The sequence below is a fragment of the Homo sapiens genome, chromosome 11, assembly GCF_000001405.40.
Source record: "Homo sapiens chromosome 11, GRCh38.p14 Primary Assembly".
Taxonomy (NCBI): Eukaryota; Metazoa; Chordata; class Mammalia; order Primates; family Hominidae; genus Homo; species Homo sapiens.
Window position 1 is genome coordinate 36546338 of NC_000011.10, and position 18044 is coordinate 36564381.

At 39.9% G+C, this 18044-nt stretch overlaps 1 protein-coding gene across 7 annotated transcripts in view; it reads left to right on the forward strand.

The window, feature by feature from the left end:
- The window catches only part of RAG1 (recombination activating 1), a 69410-nt gene that overhangs the window by 35985 nt on the left and 15381 nt on the right, over nucleotides 1-18044 (forward strand). For 3 of the 7 annotated variants that reach the window (NM_001377277.1, NM_001377278.1, NM_001377279.1), the window contains one exon: nucleotides 17048-17161. The exons of 3 other annotated variants lie outside the window; for them this stretch is intronic. The gene's annotated coding sequence lies outside the window, so the exon portion shown is untranslated. Of the gene's footprint in view, nucleotides 1-14492; nucleotides 15666-17047; nucleotides 17162-18044 lie in introns of those variants that run through there. One more of the 7 variants, XM_047427384.1, reaches the window with a different exon arrangement.

An 18044-nucleotide genomic window follows, 5' to 3' on the forward strand; every position in this document is an offset into this window, starting at 1 on the left:
CTTTGTATTTTTTGATCTTTGTCGGTTTAAAGTCTGTTTTATTAGAGACTAGGATTGCAACCCCTGCTTTCTTTTTGCTTTCCATTTGCTTGGTAAATCTTCCTCCATCCCTTTATTTTGAGTCTATGTGTGTCTTTGCACATGAGATGGGTCTCCTGAATATGCCACATCGATGGGTGTTTACTCTTTATCCAATTTGCCAGTCTGTCTTTTAATTGGGGGCATTTAGCCTGTTTATATTTAAGGTTAATATTGTTATGTGTGAATTTGATCCTGTCATTTTGATGCTAGCTGGTTATTTTGCCCATTTGTTGATGCAGTTTCTTCATAGTGTCAATGGACTTTACAATTTGGTATGTTTTTGCAGTGGCTGGTACTGGTTTTTCCTTTCCATATTTAGTGCTTCCTTCAGGAGCTCTTGTAAGGCAGGCCTGGTGGTGACAAAATCTCTCAGCATTTGCTTGACTGTAAAGGATTTTATTTCTCTTTCACGTATGAAGCTTAGTTTGGCCGATTTGAAAATTCTTTTCTTTAAGAATGAAGAAAAGAATTTTCTTCGGGCTTGCAGGGTTTCTGTGGAGACATCCGCTCTTAGTCTGATGGCCTTCCCTTTTGTGGGTAATCCGACCTCTATCTCTGGCTGCCCTTAACATTTTTTCCTTCATTTCAACCTTGGTGAATCTGACAATTATGTGTCTTGGGGTCGCTCTTCTCAAGGGGTATCTTTGTGGTGTTCTCTGTAGTTCCTGAATTTGAATGTTGGCCTGTCATGCTAGGTTGGAGCTAAAGCAGTGTTTAGAGAGAAATTTATAACACTAAATGCCCACAGGAGAAAGTGGGGAAGATCTAAAATCGACACCCTAGCATCATAATAAAAAGAACTAGAGAAGCAAGAACAAACAAATTCAAAAGTTAGCAGAAGACAAGAAATAACTAAGATCAGAGCAGAACTGATGGAGATAGAGACACACAAACTCTAAAAAATCAATGAATCCAGAAGCTGGTTTTTTGAAAAGATCAACAAAATGGATAGACTGCTAGCCAGACTAATAAAGAAGGAAAGAGAGAAGAATCAAATAGACACAATAAAAAATGATAAAGTGGATATCACCACTGATCCCACAGAAATACAACTACCATCAGAGAATACTATAAACACCTCTATGCAAATAAACTAGAAAATCTAGAAGAAATGGATAAATTCATGGACACATATACCCTCCCAAGACTAAACCAGGAAGAAGCCAAATCCCTGAGTAGACCAATAACAAATTCTGAAATTGAGGCAGTAATTTATAGCCTACCAACCAAAAAAAGTCCAGGACCAGATGGATTCACAGCCAAATTCTACCAGAGGTACAAAGAGGAGCTGGTGTCATTCCTTCTGAAACTATTCCAAACAATAGAAAAAGAGGGAATCCCCCCTAACTCATTTTATGAGGCTAGCATCATTCTGATACCAAAACCTGACAGAGACTCAACAAAAAAAGAAAATTTCAGGCCAATACCCCTGATGAACATCGATGTGAAAATCCTCAGTAAAATACTGGCAAACCTAATACAGCAGCACATCAAAAAGCTTATTCACCATGATCAAGTCAGCTTCATCCCTGGGATGCAATGCTGGTTCAACATACGCAAATCAATAAACGTAATCCCTCACATAAACAGAACCAACGACAAAAACTACATGATTATATCAATAGATGCAGAAAAGGCCTTCATAAAATTCAACACCCCTTCATGCTAAAAACTCTCAATAAACTAGGTATTGATGGAATGTATCTCAAAGTAATAAGAGCTATTTATGACAAACTCAGAGCCAATATCATACTGAATGGACAAAAGCTAGAAGCATTTCCTTTGAAAACTGGCACAAGACAAGGATGCCCTCCCTCACCACTCCTATTCAACATAGTATTGGAAGTTCTGGCCAAGGCAATCAGGCAAGAGAAAGAAATAAAGCGTATTCAGATGGGAAGAGAGGAAGTCAAATTGTCTCTGTTTGCAGATGACATGATTGTACATTTAGAAAACTCCGTCTCAGCCCAAATCTCCTTAAGCTGATAAGCAACTTCAGCAAAGTCTCGGGATACAAAAATCAATGTGCAAAAATCACAAGCATTCCTATACAGCAATAATAGACAAACAGAGAGCCAAATCATGAGTGAACTCCCATTCACAATTGCTACAAAAAAAATAAAATACCTAGGAATCCAACTTACAAGAGATGTGAAGGACCTCTTCAAGGAGAACTACAAACCACTGCTCAAGGAAATAAAAGAGGACACAAACAAATGGCAAAACATTCCATGCTCATGGATAGGAAGAATCAATATTGTGAAAATGGCCATACAGCCCAAAATAATTTATAGATTCAATGCTATCCCCATCAAGCTACCAATGACTTTCTTCACAGAATTGGAAAAAACTACTTTAAATTTCATATGGAACCAAAAAAGAGCCCATATGGTCAAGACAATTCTAAGCAAAAAGAACAAAGCTGGAGGCATCACCCTACCTGACTTCAAACTATACTACAAGGCTACAGGAACCAAAACAGCATGGTACTGGTACCAAAACAGGTATATAGACCCATGGAACCAAACGGAAGCATTAGAAATAACGCCACAGATCTGCAACCATCTGATCTTTGACAAACCTGACAAAAACAAGCAATGGGGAAAGGATTCCCTATTTAATAAATGATGTCAGAAAAACTGGCTAGCCATATGCAGAAAACTGAAACTGGACCCCTTCCTTACACCTTATACAAAAATTAACTCAAGATGGATTAAAGGCTTAAATGTAAGACCTAAAACCATAAAAACCCTAGAAGAAAACCTAGGCAATACCATTCAGGATATAGGCATGGGCAAAGACTTCATGACTAAAACACCAAAAGCAATGGCAACAAAAGCCAAAATTGACAAATGGGATCTAATTAAACTAGAGAGCTTCTGCACAGCAAAAGAAACTATCATCAGAGTGAACAGGCAACCTATGGAATGGGAGAAAATGTTTGCAATCTATCTATCTGACAAAGGGCAAATATCCAGAAGCTACAAGGAACTTAAACAACTTTAAAAGAAAAATACAAACAACCCTATCAAAAAGTGGGCGAAGGATATGAACAGACATTTCTCAAAAGAAGACATTTATGCAGCCAACAAACAAAAGCTCATCATCACTGTCATTAGAGAAATGCAAATGAAAACCACAATAAGATACCATCTCACACCAGTTAGAATGGCGATCATTAAAACGTCAGGAAACAACAGATGCTGGAGAGGATGTGGAGAATAGGAACTCTTTTACATGGTTGGTGGGAGTGTAAATTAGTTCAACTGTTGTGGAAGACAGTGTGGTGATTCCTCAAGGATCCAGAACCAGAAATACCATTTGACCCAGCAATCTCATTACTGAGTATATGCCCAAAGGATTTATAAATCATGCTACTGTAAAGACACATGCACATGTATGTTTATTGCAGCACTGTACACAATAGCAAAGACTTGGAACCAACCCAAAAGCCCATCAATGATAGACTGGATAAAGAAAATGTGGCACATATACACCATAGAATACTATGCAGCCACAGAAAAGGATGAGTTCATGTCATTTGCAGAAACATAGATAAAGCTGGAAACCATCATTCTCAGCAAACTAACACAGGAATGCAAACCAAACACTACATGTTCTCACTCATAAGTGGGAGTTGAACAATGAGAACACATGGACACAGGGAGGGGAACATCACATAATGGAGCCTGCTGGGGACTGGGGAGCTGGGGAGGGATAGCATTAGGAGAAATACCTAATGCAGATGATGGCTTGATGGGTGCAGCAAACCACCATGGCAAGTGTATACCTATGTAACAAACTTGGATGTCCTGCACATGTATCCCAGAACTTAAAAGTATAATAATAATAAAAAAAGGTTTTTGGTTTTCCAGTTAAGAATTGTATACCAAATCAAAAGATGGTCAGTTAATTGCTTTAATCAGGAATCCAAATTTGACCTACCCTAAGAGAAAAAAAGAGACTTATTTAGAACATCAAAGAGGCTCTAAAATTCCAAACATACCATGGATTGACCTGAACTTTTCCTTATGAGGTGACCCCACATTTTTAGAAAGGCATAGCTTCTAAGGACTAGTCACAATGGCAGAAGAAAAGATCTTCACATATATTGGTTAGGACTTATGGTTTTGAGGGTTAGATGACCCAAATTCAACTTGGGTTAAACAGGAAATGGAATTGCTTGACTCTTATTACAGAGAAGCCTGTGAAGTTGGAGTTTATTTCAGGCATAGCTGTGTCCAAGAGTTTAAATGATGTCATCAGTCTTTTCTCAGTGCCTTTTTCCTTCTCTTGCCTAGTTGGACTTAATTCTCATGTAGGTTTTTCTCATAAGATAGCATGATGGACTTTGGCAGCTCCAAGCATATGAGATCCTTTGGTATCACAGACTAAGAGAGAAAAAAGTGTCCTTTCTCTCTATTGTTCATATCAATCCCACAGAAGTACTCTGCCTACTTGGGTCATGTGACTAACCCTGGATCCATCACTTTATCTAAGGAATTGGGAACTTTTGATTGGCTGGCCTTGGTTCAGTGAAGGAGGCAGGGCCAGATGACTGATAGCAACGTCAGATTTACTATGAAAGAGGAGGTTGTTCTCAGTTGGCAAAAGTATTGGACAGATAGGAAAGTAACTGATAGCAACTCTCCTACAGAATATCAAATTGTAGTCAGAATGTTGCTTAGTGAGAATGCAGTCAAAGCAAAAGGATTTAGTTGGATGATTAAAAAGTGCAGTAAATTCAGACAATGATAATTTTAGGTATTCTTCTAGCTGTATGTGCCTCAATGATAAGAAAGTGGCAGTTTTTGGATTTATGACTCCCTTCCTTTGGCATGTGTATGTGTGTATCATAGGTCTTTCTGATTATAATTTTCTAAGTTTCCACTAATGGCTATATTAGTTTTCTAGGGCTACCATAACAAAGTATCATAGAGTAGGTAGCTTAAACAACCAACGTTTATTTTCTCACAATTTTGGAGGCTAGAAGTTTGAGATTAAGGTGTTAGTGGAATTGGTTTCTCTGAGGTCTCTCCTTGGCTTGTAGATGGTCATATTTTCTCTTTGTTTTCACATTGTCTTCCCTCTGTGTGTGTCTGTGTTCTAATCTCTTTTTCTAAGATCACCAGTCATATTGAATTAGGGCTCACCTAATGACCTCATTTTAACTTAATTACTTCTTTTTTTTTTTTTTTTTTATTATACTCTAAGTTTTAGGGTACATGTGCACATTGTGCAGGTTAGTTACATATGTATACATGTGCCATGCTGGTGCACTGCACCCACTAATGTGTCATCTAGCATTAGGTATATCTCCCAATGCTATCCCTCCCCCCTCCCCTGACCCCACCACAGTCCCCAGAGTGTGATATTCCCCTTCCTGTGTCCATGTGATCTCATTGTTCAATTCCCACCTATGAGTGAGAATATGCGGTGTTTGTTTTTTGTTCTTGCGATAGTTTACTGAGAATGATGGTTTCCAATTTCATCCATGTCCCTACAAAGGATATGAACTCATCATTTTTTATGGCTGCATAGTATTCCATGGTGTATATGTGCCACATTTTCTTAATCCAGTCTATCATTGTTGGACATTTGGGTTGGTTCCAAGTCTTTGCTATTGTGAATAGTGCCGCAATAAACATACGTGTGCATGTGTCTTTATAGCAGCATGATTTATACTCATTTGGGTATATACCCAGTAATGGGATGGCTGGGTCAAATGGTATTTCTAGTTCTAGATCCCTGAGGAATCGCCACACTGACTTCCACAATGGTTGAACTAGTTTACAGTCCCACCAACAGTGTAAAAGTGTTCCTATTTCTCCGCATCCTCTCCAGCACCTGTTGTTTCCTGACTTTTTAATGATTGCCATTCTAACTGGTGTGAGATGATATCTCATAGTGGTTTTGATTTGCATTTCTCTGATGGCCAGTGATGATGAGCATTTCTTCATGTGTTTTTTGGCTGCATAAATGTCTTCTTTTGAGAAGTGTCTGTTCATGTCCTTCGCCCACTTTTTGATGGGGTTGTTTGTTTTTTTCTTGTAAATTTGTTTGAGTTCATTGTAGATTCTGGATATTAGCCCTTTGTCAGATGAGTAGGTTGCGAAAATTTTCTCCCATGTTGTAGGTTGCCTGTTCACTCTGATGGTAGTTTCTTTTGCTGTGCAGAAGCTCTTTAGTTTAATTAGATCCCATTTGTCAATTTTGTCTTTTGTTGCCATTGCTTTTGGTGTTTCAGACATGAAGTCCTTGCCCACGCCTATGTCCTGAATGGTAATGCCTAGGTTTTCTTCTAGGGTTTTTATGGTTTTAGGTTTAACGTTTAAATCTTTAATCCATCTTGAATTGATTTTTGTATAAGGTGTAAGGAAGGGATCCAGTTTCAGCTTTCTACATATGGCTAGCCAGTTTTCCCAGCACCATTTATTAAATAGGGAATCCTTTCCCCATTGCTTGTTTTTCTCAGGTTTGTCAAAGATCAGATAGTTGTAGATATGCGGCATTATTTCTGAGGGCTCTGTTCTGTTCCATTGATCTATATCTCTGTTTTGGTACCAGTACCATGCTGTTTTGGTTACTGTAGCCTTGTAGTATAGTTTGAAGTCAGGTAGTGTGATGCCTCCAGCTTTGTTCTTTTGGCTTAGGATTGACTTGGCGATGCGGGCTCTTTTTTGGTTCCATATGTACTTTAAAGTAGTTTTTTCCAATTCTGTGAAGAAAGTCATTGGTAGCTTGATGGGGATGGCATTGAATCTGTAAATTACCTTGGGCAGTATGGCCATTTTCACGATATTGATTCTTCCTACCCATGAGCATGGAATGTTCTTCCATTTGTTTGTGTCCTCTTTTATTTCCTTGAGCAGTGGTTTGTAGTTCTCCTTGAAGAGGTCCTTCACATCTCTTGTAAGTTGGATTCCTAGGTATTTTATTCTCTTTGAAGCAATTGTGAATGGGAGTTCACCCATGATTTGGCTCTCTGTTTGTCTGTTGTTGGTGTATAAGAATGCTTGTGATTTTTGTACATTGATTTTGTATCCTGAGACTTTGCTGAAGTTGCTTATCAGCTTAAGGAGATTTTGGGCTGAGACGATGGGGTTTTCTAGATAAACAATCATGTCGTCTGCAAACAGGGACAATTTGACTTCCTCTTTTCCTAATTGAATACCCTTTATTTCCTTCTCCTGCCTGATTGCCCTGGCCAGAACTTCCAACACTATGTTGAATAGGAGCGGTGAGAGAGGGCATCCCTGTCTTGTGCCAGTTTTCAAAGGGAATGCTTCCAGTTTTTGCCCATTCAGTATGATATTGGCTGTGGGTTTGTCATAGATAGCTCTTATTATTTTGAAATACGTCCCATCAATACCTAATTTATTGAGAGTTTTTAGCATGAAGGGTTGTTGAATTTTGTCAAAGGCTTTTTCTGCATCTATTGAGATAATCATGTGGTTTTTGTCTTTGGCTCTGTTTATATGCTGGATTACATTTATTGATTTGCGTATATTGAACCAGCCTTGCATCCCAGGGATGAAGCCCACTTGATCATGGTGGATAAGCTTTTTGATGTGCTGCTGGATTCGGTTTGCCAGTATTTTATTGAGGATTTTTGCATCAATGTTCATCAAGGATATTGGTCTAAAATTCTCTTTTTTGGTTGTGTCTCTGCCCGGCTTTGGTATCAGAATGATGCTGGCCTCATAAAATAAGTTGGGGAGGATTCCCTCTTTTTCTATTGATTGGAATAGTTTCAGAAGGAATGGTACCAGTTCCTCCTTGTACCCCTGGTAGAATTCGGCTGTGAATCCATCTGGTCCTGGACTCTTTTTGGTTGGTAAACTATTGATTATTGCCACAATTTCAGAGCCTGTTATTGGTCTATTCAGAGATTCAACTTCTTCCTGGTTTAGTCTTGGGAGAGTGTATGTGTCGAGGAATGTATCCATTTCTTCTAGATTTTCTAGTTTATTTGCGTAGAGGTGTTTGTAGTATTCTCTGATGGTAGTTTGTATTTCTGTGGGATCGGTGGTGATATCCCCTTTATCATTTTTTATTGTGTCTATTTGATTCTTCTCTCTTTTTTTCTTTATTAGTCTTGCTAGCGGTCTATCAATTTTGTTGATCCTTTCAAAAAACCAGCTCCTGGATTCATTGATTTTTTGAAGGGTTTTTTGTGTCTCTATTTCCTTCAGTTCTGCTCTGATTTTAGTTATTTCTTGCCTTCTGCTAGCTTTTGAATGTGTTTGCTCTTGCTTTTCTAGTTCTTTTAATTGTGATGTTAGGGTGTCAATTTTGGATCTTTCCTGCTTTCTCTTGTAGGCATTTAGTGCTATAAATTTCCCTCTACACACTGCTTTGAATGCGTCCCAGAGATTCTGGTATGTGGTGTCTTTGTTCTCGTTGGTTTCAAAGAACATCTTTATTTCTGCCTTCATTTCGTTATGTACCCAGTAGTCATTCAGGAGCAGGTTGTTCAGTTTCCATGTAGTTGAGCGGCTTTGAGTGAGATTCTTAATCCTGAGTTCTAGTTTGATTGCAGTGTGGTCTGAGAGATAGTTTGTTATAATTTCTGTTCTTTTACATTTGCTGAGGAGAGCTTTACTTCCAACTATGTGGTCAATTTTGGAATAGGTGTGGTGTGGTGCTGAAAAAAATGTATATTCTGTTGATTTGGGGTGGAGAGTTCTGTAGATGTCTATTAGGTCTGCTTGGTGCAGAGCTGAGTTCAATTCCTGGGTATCCTTGTTGACTTTCTGTCTCGTTGATCTGTCTAATGTTGACAGTGGGGTGTTAAAGTCTCCCATTATTAATGTGTGGGAGTCTAAGTCTCTTTGTAGGTCACTGAGGACTTGCTTTATGAATCTGGGTGCTCCTGTATTGGGTGCATAAATATTTAGGATAGTTAGCTCCTCTTGTTGAATTGATCCCTTTACCATTATGTAATGGCCTTCTTTGTCTCTTTTGATCTTTGTTGGTTTAAAGTCTGTTTTATCAGAGACTAGGATTGCAACCCCTGCCTTTTTTTGTTTTCCATTGGCTTGGTAGATCTTCCTCCATCCTTTTATTTTGAGCCTATGTGTGTCTCTGCACGTGAGATGGGTTTCCTGAATACAGCACACTGATGGGTCTTGACTCTTTATCCAACTTGCCAGTCTGTGTCTTTTAATTGCAGAATTTAGTCCATTTATATTTAAAGTTAATATTGTTATGTGTGAATTTGATCCTGTCATTATGATGTTAGCTGGTGATTTTGCTCATTAGTTGATGCAGTTTCTTCCTAGTCTCGATGGTCTTTACATTTTGGCATGATTTTGCAGCGGCTGGTACCGGTTGTTCCTTTCCATGTTTAGCGCTTCCTTCAGGAGCTCTTTTAGGGCAGGCCTGGTGGTGACAAAATCTCTCAGCATTTGCTTGTCTATAAAGTATTTTATTTCTCCTTCACTTATGAAGCTTAGTTTGGCTGGATATGAAATTCTGGGTTGAAAATTCTTTTCTTTAAGAATGTTGAATATTGGCCCCCACTCTCTTCTGGCTTGTAGGGTTTCTGCCGAGAGATCCGCTGTTAGTCTGATGGGCTTTCCTTTGAGGGTAACCCGACCTTTCTCTCTGGCTGCCCTTAACATTTTTTCCTTCATTTCAACTTTGGTGAATCTGACAATTATGTGTCTTGGAGTTGCTCTTCTCGAGGAGTATCTTTGTGGCGTTCTCTGTATTTCCTGAATCTGAACGTTGGCCTGCCTTGCTAGATTGGGGAAGTTCTCCTGGATAATATCCTGCAGAGTGTTTTCCAACTTGGTTCCATTCTCCACATCACTTTCAGGTACACCAATCAGACGTAGATTTGGTCTTTTCACATAGTCCCATATTTCTTGGAGGCTTTGCTCATTTCTTTTTATTCTTTTTTCTCTAAACTTCCCTTCTCGCTTCATTTCATTCATTTCATCTTCCATTGCTGATACCCTTTCTTCCAGTTGATCGCATCGGCTCCTGAGGCTTCTGCATTCTTCACGTAGTTCTCGAGCCTTGGTTTTCAGCTCCATCAGCTCCTTTAAGCACTTCTCTGTATTGGTTATTCTAGTTATACATTCTTCTAAATTTTTTTCAAAGTTTTCAACTTCTTTGCCTTTGGTTTGAATGTCCTCCCATAGCTCAGAGTAATTTGATCGTCTGAAGCCTTCTTCTCTCAGCTCGTCAAAATCATTCTCCATCCAGCTTTGTTCTGTTGCTGGTGAGGAACTGCGTTCCTTTGGAGGAGGAGAGGCGCTCTGCGTTTTAGAGTTTCCAGTTTTTCTGTTCTGTTTTTTCCCCATCTTTGTGGTTTTATCTACTTTTGGTCTTTGATGATGGTGATGTACAGATGGGTTTTCGGTGTAGATGTCCTTTCTGGTTGTTAGTTTTCCTTCTAACAGACAGGACCCTCAGCTGCAGGTCTGTTGGAATACCCTGCCGTGTGAGGTGTCAGTGTGCCCCTGCTGGGGGGTGCCTCCCAGTTAGGCTGCTCGGGGTTCAGGGGTCAGGGACCCACTTGAGGAGGCAGTCTGCCCGTTCTCAGATCTCCAGCTGCGTGCTGGGAGAACCACTGCTCTCTTCAAAGCTGTCAGACAGGGACACTTAAGTCTGCAGAGGTTACTGCTGTCTTTTTGTTTGTCTGTGCCCTGCCCCCAGAGGTGGAGCCTACAGAGGCAGGCAGGCCTCCTTGAGCTGTGGTGGGCTCCACCCAGTTCGAGCTTCCTGGCTGCTTTGTTTACCTAAGCAAGCCTGGGCAATGGCGGGCGCCCCTCCCCCAGCCTCGTTGCCGCCTTGCAGTTTGATCTCAGACTGCTGTGCTAGCAATCAGCGAGATTCCGTGGGCGTAGGACCCTCTGAGCCAGGTGTGGGATATAGTCTCGTGGTGCGCCGTTTCTTAAGCCGGTCTGAAAAGCGCAATATTCGGGTGGGAGTGACCCGATTTTCCAGGTGCGTCCGTCACCCCTTTCTTTGACTCGGAAAGGGAACTCCCTGACCCCTTGCGCTTCCCAGGTGAGGCAATGCCTCGCCCTGCTTCGGCTCGCGCACGGTGCGCGCACACACTGGCCTGCGCCCACTGTCTGGCACTCCCTAGTGACAGGAACCCGGTACCTCAGATGGAAATGCAGAAATCACCCGTCTTCTGCGTCGCTCACGCTGGGAGCTGTAGACCGGAGCTGTTCCTATTCGGCCATCTTGGCTCCTCCTCAACTTAATTACTTCTTTAAAGAGTTCAAATGCAGTCACATTCTGAGGTACTGGTGGTTAGAAATTCAACATATGAATTTACAGGAAGGGGATACAATTCAACCTGTAACAATAATGAACCCTCTCACTTTGGTTAATATCTTTGTTTCATATTTTAATATGTATCCTCAAGTTTTGTTCAAGTTGGAAACCACTGCATTTTGTCTTTTTAATATGACCTTTCATGTGTCTGTTCTGATCTGTTATGGATCAAACTTTATAGTATATTGATCTTATAGTGTAAGTCTCAGGAGGTGAACTTAATTCCAATATTTTTAGGGGAAGGGTACCTTTTCATTACTCCCATGTAACACTTAATGTTTATTAAATACCTACAAAGCCCAGAGGCTTTGGTATATTGTGTTTCTATTTTCATTTCTTTCAATAACATTTTAAATTTTTAGTTTCCAAATTTCTCTTATGACTAATTTCCAGTTTTATTCCATTGTGGTCAGAAAAGATACTTGATATGATTTCAGTTTTAAAAAATTTGTTGAGACTTGTTTTGTGGCATAACATATAATCTATCCTGGAGAATGTTTCATGTGCTGATGAGAAGGTTGTGTATTCTGGAGGTATTGGATAAAACATTCTATAAGTGTCTGTTAGGTCCATTTGGTCTGTATTACAGTTTAAATCCAGTTTTGGTTGATTTTCTATTTTGATAATCTGTTAAATGCTAATACAGTAGGCTGCTGGTGTTTCCACCTATTACTGTATTGGAGTCTGTCTCTCCCTTTAGATCTAATACTTGCTTTACATATCTGAGTTCTCTGGTGTTGGGTGCATGTAAATTCACAATCGTTGTATCCTCTTACTGAATTGATTCATTTATCATTATATAATGGTGCCATCTGTTTTTACAGTTTTGGATTTAAAAGTCTATTTTATCTAATATAAGCGTAGTTACTCCTGCTTACTTTTGGTTTCCATTTGCATGGAGTATCTTTTTCCATCCTTTCACTTTTCATCTATGTGTGTCTTTGTAGTTGAAGTGAGTTTCTTGTAGATAGCACATGGTTATGTCCTGTTTGTTTTTGTCCATTCAACAGTCTATCTCTCTTAATTGAGGAACTTAATTCATTCACTTTCAATGTTATTATTGATAGGTGAGGACTTACTTCTGTCATTTTATTGTTTTCTGGTTGTTTTGCATTTCTCTTCCTCGTTTCTTTATCTCTTACTGTTTATCTTTGTGTGGTTTGCTTGGTGACAAATTTTAGTTACTTTCTCTTTCGCATCTGTGTATCTGCTCTACTAGTGGGTTCTATACTTTTGTTTGTTCTCCTGATGGTAGTTATTGCCCTTTGGCTTTCAGATATAGGGCTCCCTTAATCATTTCTTGTAAGACCAGTCTAGTGGTGATAAATTTCCTTTTTGCTTCTCTGGGAAAGACTTTGTTTCTCCTTCATTTCTGAGGGATAGTTTTGTTGGGTGTAGTATTCTTGATTGACAGTTTTTTTTATTTTCTTTTAGCACTTTGACTATATTATCACATTGTTTCCTTGCCCACAAGATTTCTGCTGATAAATATGCTGTTAGTATAATGAAGATTCCCTTATATTTGAGTTGACACTCTTCTCTTGCTGTTTTTACACTTCTCTCTTGCTGTTTTTACACTTCTCTCTTTGTCCTTGAATTTTGACAGTTTGACTATAAAGTGCTTCAGAGAGAATCTTTTGAAGTTGAATCTGTTTACGGGCATTTGAGGTTCTTGAATTCATATGTGTACATATTTCCTAAGACTTGAAAAGTTTCCAGCTAATATTTTATTAGAGTTTCTCTGCCTTTTCCCTCTCTTCTTCTCAAACTCCCATAATTAAACATTAGTTCACATAATGGTATTTTATAAAGTCCATAGGCTTTCTTCATTCTTTTTTATTTTTCTTACTCTCGCTCTCTCTTTTTGTCTGATTGGGTTATTTCAAAAGACTTGTTTTCAAGTTCAGAAGTTCTTTCTTTTGCTTGATCTAGTCTGTTGTTGAAGCTGTTGATTATATTTTTTATTCAATTTATATAATTCTTCACCTCCAAGATTTCTGTTTTTTAATGGTATCTGTCTCTTTGTTGAATTTCTCACTAAGATCTTGAATTGTTTTTCTGATTTTGTTAAATTGTCTATCTGTATTTGCTTGTATCTTGCTGAGTTTTCTTATACTCATTGTTTTGAATTCCTTTTCAGGCATTTCATAGATTTTCTTCTTTAGGGTCTGTTACAGGAGAATTCCTTTGGAGGTGTTATGTTTCCCTGCTTTTTCACGTTTCTTGTGTTCCTTTATTAGCATCTGTGCATCTGCTGGAGCAGTTGCCTCTTCCAATTTTACAGACTAGCTTTTGTAGAGAAAGACTTTTTCGTGTGAGTCTGTCCTATAGTGTCGATTGGGTAAAGTGGTTTGGATTTGGTTACCGGTGGCTGCAGTAGTGTAGTATCAATGTGATTTCTTTGGCTGTAATCAATATCAATGGTGTTTGTAGAGACAGTGATGTGGCTTTGCTGGGGTTGGGGAATGATAGGTGGACTGGTTCTCAGGCCCTGGTAGGGTATGTGTTGGGCATGGTAGCTCTGCTGGTCATCAGTACAGTATTGCCAGTGGTGGCAAGCATTGGGTGATCAGTCCTTGGGTAATGGGGGCATGCATGGCAGTGCCCCTGGTCTTAGGGGAGGTTTATTTCCTATTCTACACTACCTGTTTCTTGGGGTGCAGGGCACTGTGTGGGCTTAGGTTCAGGGTTTGCAGCTGAACCACTGAATCTAGATGGAGTCTTGGATTCCTGGCTTTGTAGTCTTTTGTCTGGTGGAATGATGGCAGGGCTCCAGGTATGTGGATATGCCAGGACACTGGCTTCCAGAACAGAATTCACTTTATTGGTGGCTCTGCTCTCAGCATGATGCAGTTCCATAGTAGCTTGGGTCCTGGGGAGGGAAGAACCCAGCATGATTTCCTACTCTGGAGCAATGGAGCTGTGTGGACTCCAGGCAGCTTTTGTATACTGGGCTTAGGGACTGTGAGGACCGTGGGGACTGTGGGGGTCTTTTGTACCTAGGATTTCAGGCATCTGCAGTGGTAATGAGGACTGCTAGGGATCTCCTGACTACCTTTCCCCCTTTTCCCCACTATAGGGAATCCCTCTTGGCTCTGAGCTGATCTTGACTGGGTGCTTCATTTCCTTCTCTATACTGCCATCTTGAATCTCCATGATTCAGAGGGTTTCGTCACTTCCTTGCTGAATTCTAGTGTTCCGCGTTAGACGCTGTACTCAAAGTGTAGTTATTTGTTTGTTGTTTTGTCCTTCTTTGTGGAGGAGGTGAGCTTTGACACTTCTAGGCAGCCATCTTGTTGACAACATCTTCCATGTACCTTCCTTAGGCACAATTATACTGTCTCCATCCTGCCATACTCAGGTACTTATGGTGTTGCCCAATGTCTGGATTAAACTGGAAGCTGGAGGTTGAGGGTACTCTGGTGATGCAGTCCAAATGGCTCATTCACTTGGAGCACAATGTGGGGCTGAGGAAGGAAAAGATGGATTTTCTTGGGGCTTCTTTACACCTTCCTTTCCACACTGTACAAGGTACCTGGTTCTCCAGGCCTTGTAGGCAGATGGGTGAGCATGGTCTCCTACAACTTCCTTTTCCCTGGAATTCCACAGAGGGAACTGAGGATGAGGTGAGGTCTTTGGATGACCTACTCTTCAGCCTTTGATGCAAATTTCATCACTCTTGATTCACAATCTCGTTAGCTCTTTCTGCCCTACCAATTACTCCAGATTTGTTTATTAATTTTTTTTTGTGTCAATATGGCTGGATCACAGAGTGCTGAGATATTTGGCTAAACATTATTCCTCGGTGTGTCTGTTAGTGTTTTTCTGAATGATATTAACATTTAAACTATTCGACTGAGTAAAGCCCTCCCCTATGAGGTGGGCATCATGCAATTCATGGAAGAACCAAATAGAACAAAAAGGAGGAGGAAGGGTAAATTTTTTTCTCTTTCTACCTGATTGCTGAAGCTGGAGCTGGGAAATTATTATTTTCCTAGCCTTGGACTAAGACTTGTTCTTGCTCTTCAGACTTTTGGATTGGTACTGAAACTATAACACTGACTTTCCTTAGTCTCTAGCTTGTGGATGGCAGAGTGTGATAGCCTCCATAATTGTGTGAGCCAATTCCTCATCTCTCTCTATTTTATTGGCTCCGTTTTTCTGAAGACCCCTGACTATACAGCAGTGTCTAATGTGTCTAAGGTAATATTTTAAGCAGAGAGAATGGCCAATGTCAGCGTATCCGGACATTTTGAGGACCAGCAAGGAGGCTACTGTGGCTGCGGGTAAGTGGGAGAAAAGATGGAAAAGGCAGGGAAAGTCATGTTCCCTGTTGGCCCTTGAGAGGCCTTTGGCTTTTATTCTAACCATGATGGGGAACCATAGGAACCATAGGAGGGTTTTGATTAGAGAAGTAAAGTGATTTGACTTATAGTTTTAACAAGATTAGAATTTGTTGACTGATTGGGCATGAGGATTTAGAGGAAGAGATAAATGAAAGATAATTCTAAGAGTTTGCCTTGAAGTGTAGAGTTGCCATTAAGCAAGCTGAGAAAGACTGTAAGAGGAGTGGATTTTGGAGGAGGATTGTGAGTTCTTGAGATAACATTGTATTTAACGGTGTGCAAAGCATCTCAAATGTTTTAACTCACTTAATTCTGCCAAGAACATTACCAGCTTCATATTATTATTCTCAACTTCAAATGAGAAAATGGAGTCAGAGAGGTTATGAAATGTGCCCCAAATCACACAGGTTGCAAGAGGTGGGGCTAGAATTTAAAGCAATGTTACGGCACTCCAACACCTGGGTTTTTAACCAGTACCCCACACCACAGCTCAACATTAGATGGATAATAATGGCCATGATAACCATACTCACTCATTAAGAATGAAGCCCAATGAGTATCTTCCAATTTGACCTCTTCTTCTTCCTCCTTGGGTGGGTGGATGAAGGAAATGCCCAAGATAAGGGACCTGATCTCCACTGTGCTAGTTGGCTTGGGCTACCATAACAAAATGCCATGGACTGGGTAGCTTAAACATAAGAAAATATATATTTTCATGGTATGGAGGCTTGAAGTAGAAGATCAAAGTTTGATTTATTGATTTATACCAGTGGTTTTCCTGGTTCTCCAACTTGAAGCCAGCAGATTGTGGGACTTCTCAATCTCCATAATTGTGTGATCCAATTCCCATAAGGCAGGTGTGATTTCTCGGGAGGCTTCTGTCCTTGGCTTCCAGACAACTGCCTTCTTACTGTGTCTTCACCTGGTCATTCATTTGTACACACACACTTCTGGTGTCTCTGTGTGTATGTCCAAATCTCCTTTTCTTATAAGGATACCAGTAAGATTGGATTAGAACCCACTCTAATGACCCCATCTTAACTTAATCAACCCATTTAAGGCTTGTGATGGTTAATCTTATGTGTCAGCTTGACTGGGCGAAGGGATACCCATATAGCTACTAAAACGATTCTGGGTATGTCTGTGTTCATACTTCTGGAAGAGATTAGCATTTAAGTCAGTAGACTGAGTAAAGAAGATCCACCCTCACCAATGTGGATGGGCATCACCTAATGTGTTTAAGGCCCAGATAGAACAAAGAAGTGGAGGAAGGGCTAATTTGCTCTCTCTAAGCTGGGATGTCCATCTTCTCCTGCCCTCAGACATCCGTGTTCCTGGATCTCAGGACTTCGGGCTTGGACTGAATTACACTACGGATTTTCCTGGTTCTCCAGCTTGAAGACAGCAGATTGTGGGACTTCTTGACCTCCATAATTGTGTGAGCCAATTCCTGTAATAATCTCTCTCTCTCATAGCAGATTTTTTTACAAAAATAATCAGAAAATGATGCTCCTTTTCCATCTCTCTCCAGAAGCACTAACTGTTCATAAGTTGAAAGTGAATATAGTTTTTAATTAAAATTTATGAAAAATTTAGCAATTGTTCTCATTATATATAAAACAAAGCCACATAGTTATTATAGTTTAAACATAATTAAATTAAATTAAAGCTAAAGCTCCTTTGTCTTAAAAACTAACCCTTTCTTATCCTCAAAAAAATATTGTGAAATTTGAGAGCCCTCACTGAGGCAAACTGGGCAGTTGCCTAGTTTGGCTTTTTGTAAAGACATTTATTGGTATCCTGCAATTAGGCATTCAGGCCATTATGTTTACTGTAGAGTTGAGAAAGCTTATTCCCCAAACCTGTATATTAGCTCTGAGAAATTTAGGTCATGTTCCTCCTATGTCAATGTTTGAACTCAATCTGTGATCTTATGGAGGTAAGTAGGATGAGGAGGCAAAACAATGCCTTACTATTTTGTAAGGTTTGGAAATGGAACAGATGTCTCCTGATTAGAAAGGATATTTAGCAATCTTATACACCGGCCTTTACTCTCAGCTCTTCAAATTTTCTCATGAAGACATGGTCCTCATATCTTCTCTTGTTTGAGGAATAAGGAGAAGGCATTTATTACACATTTTCTGGGACTGGTCAGGATTAGCAAGACAATGAGAATGGAGTTCTGTGTTGTCTCTTGACCTTTGTGGAAGACTGGAGTTAATGAAGTGTGGGGTCTTGTGCAAATTACTTTGACCTTTTAAGCTTTTGGCTCTGTTTCCTAGTCTATAGGAATTATGGGGGATTTCTACAAAGGTAAGT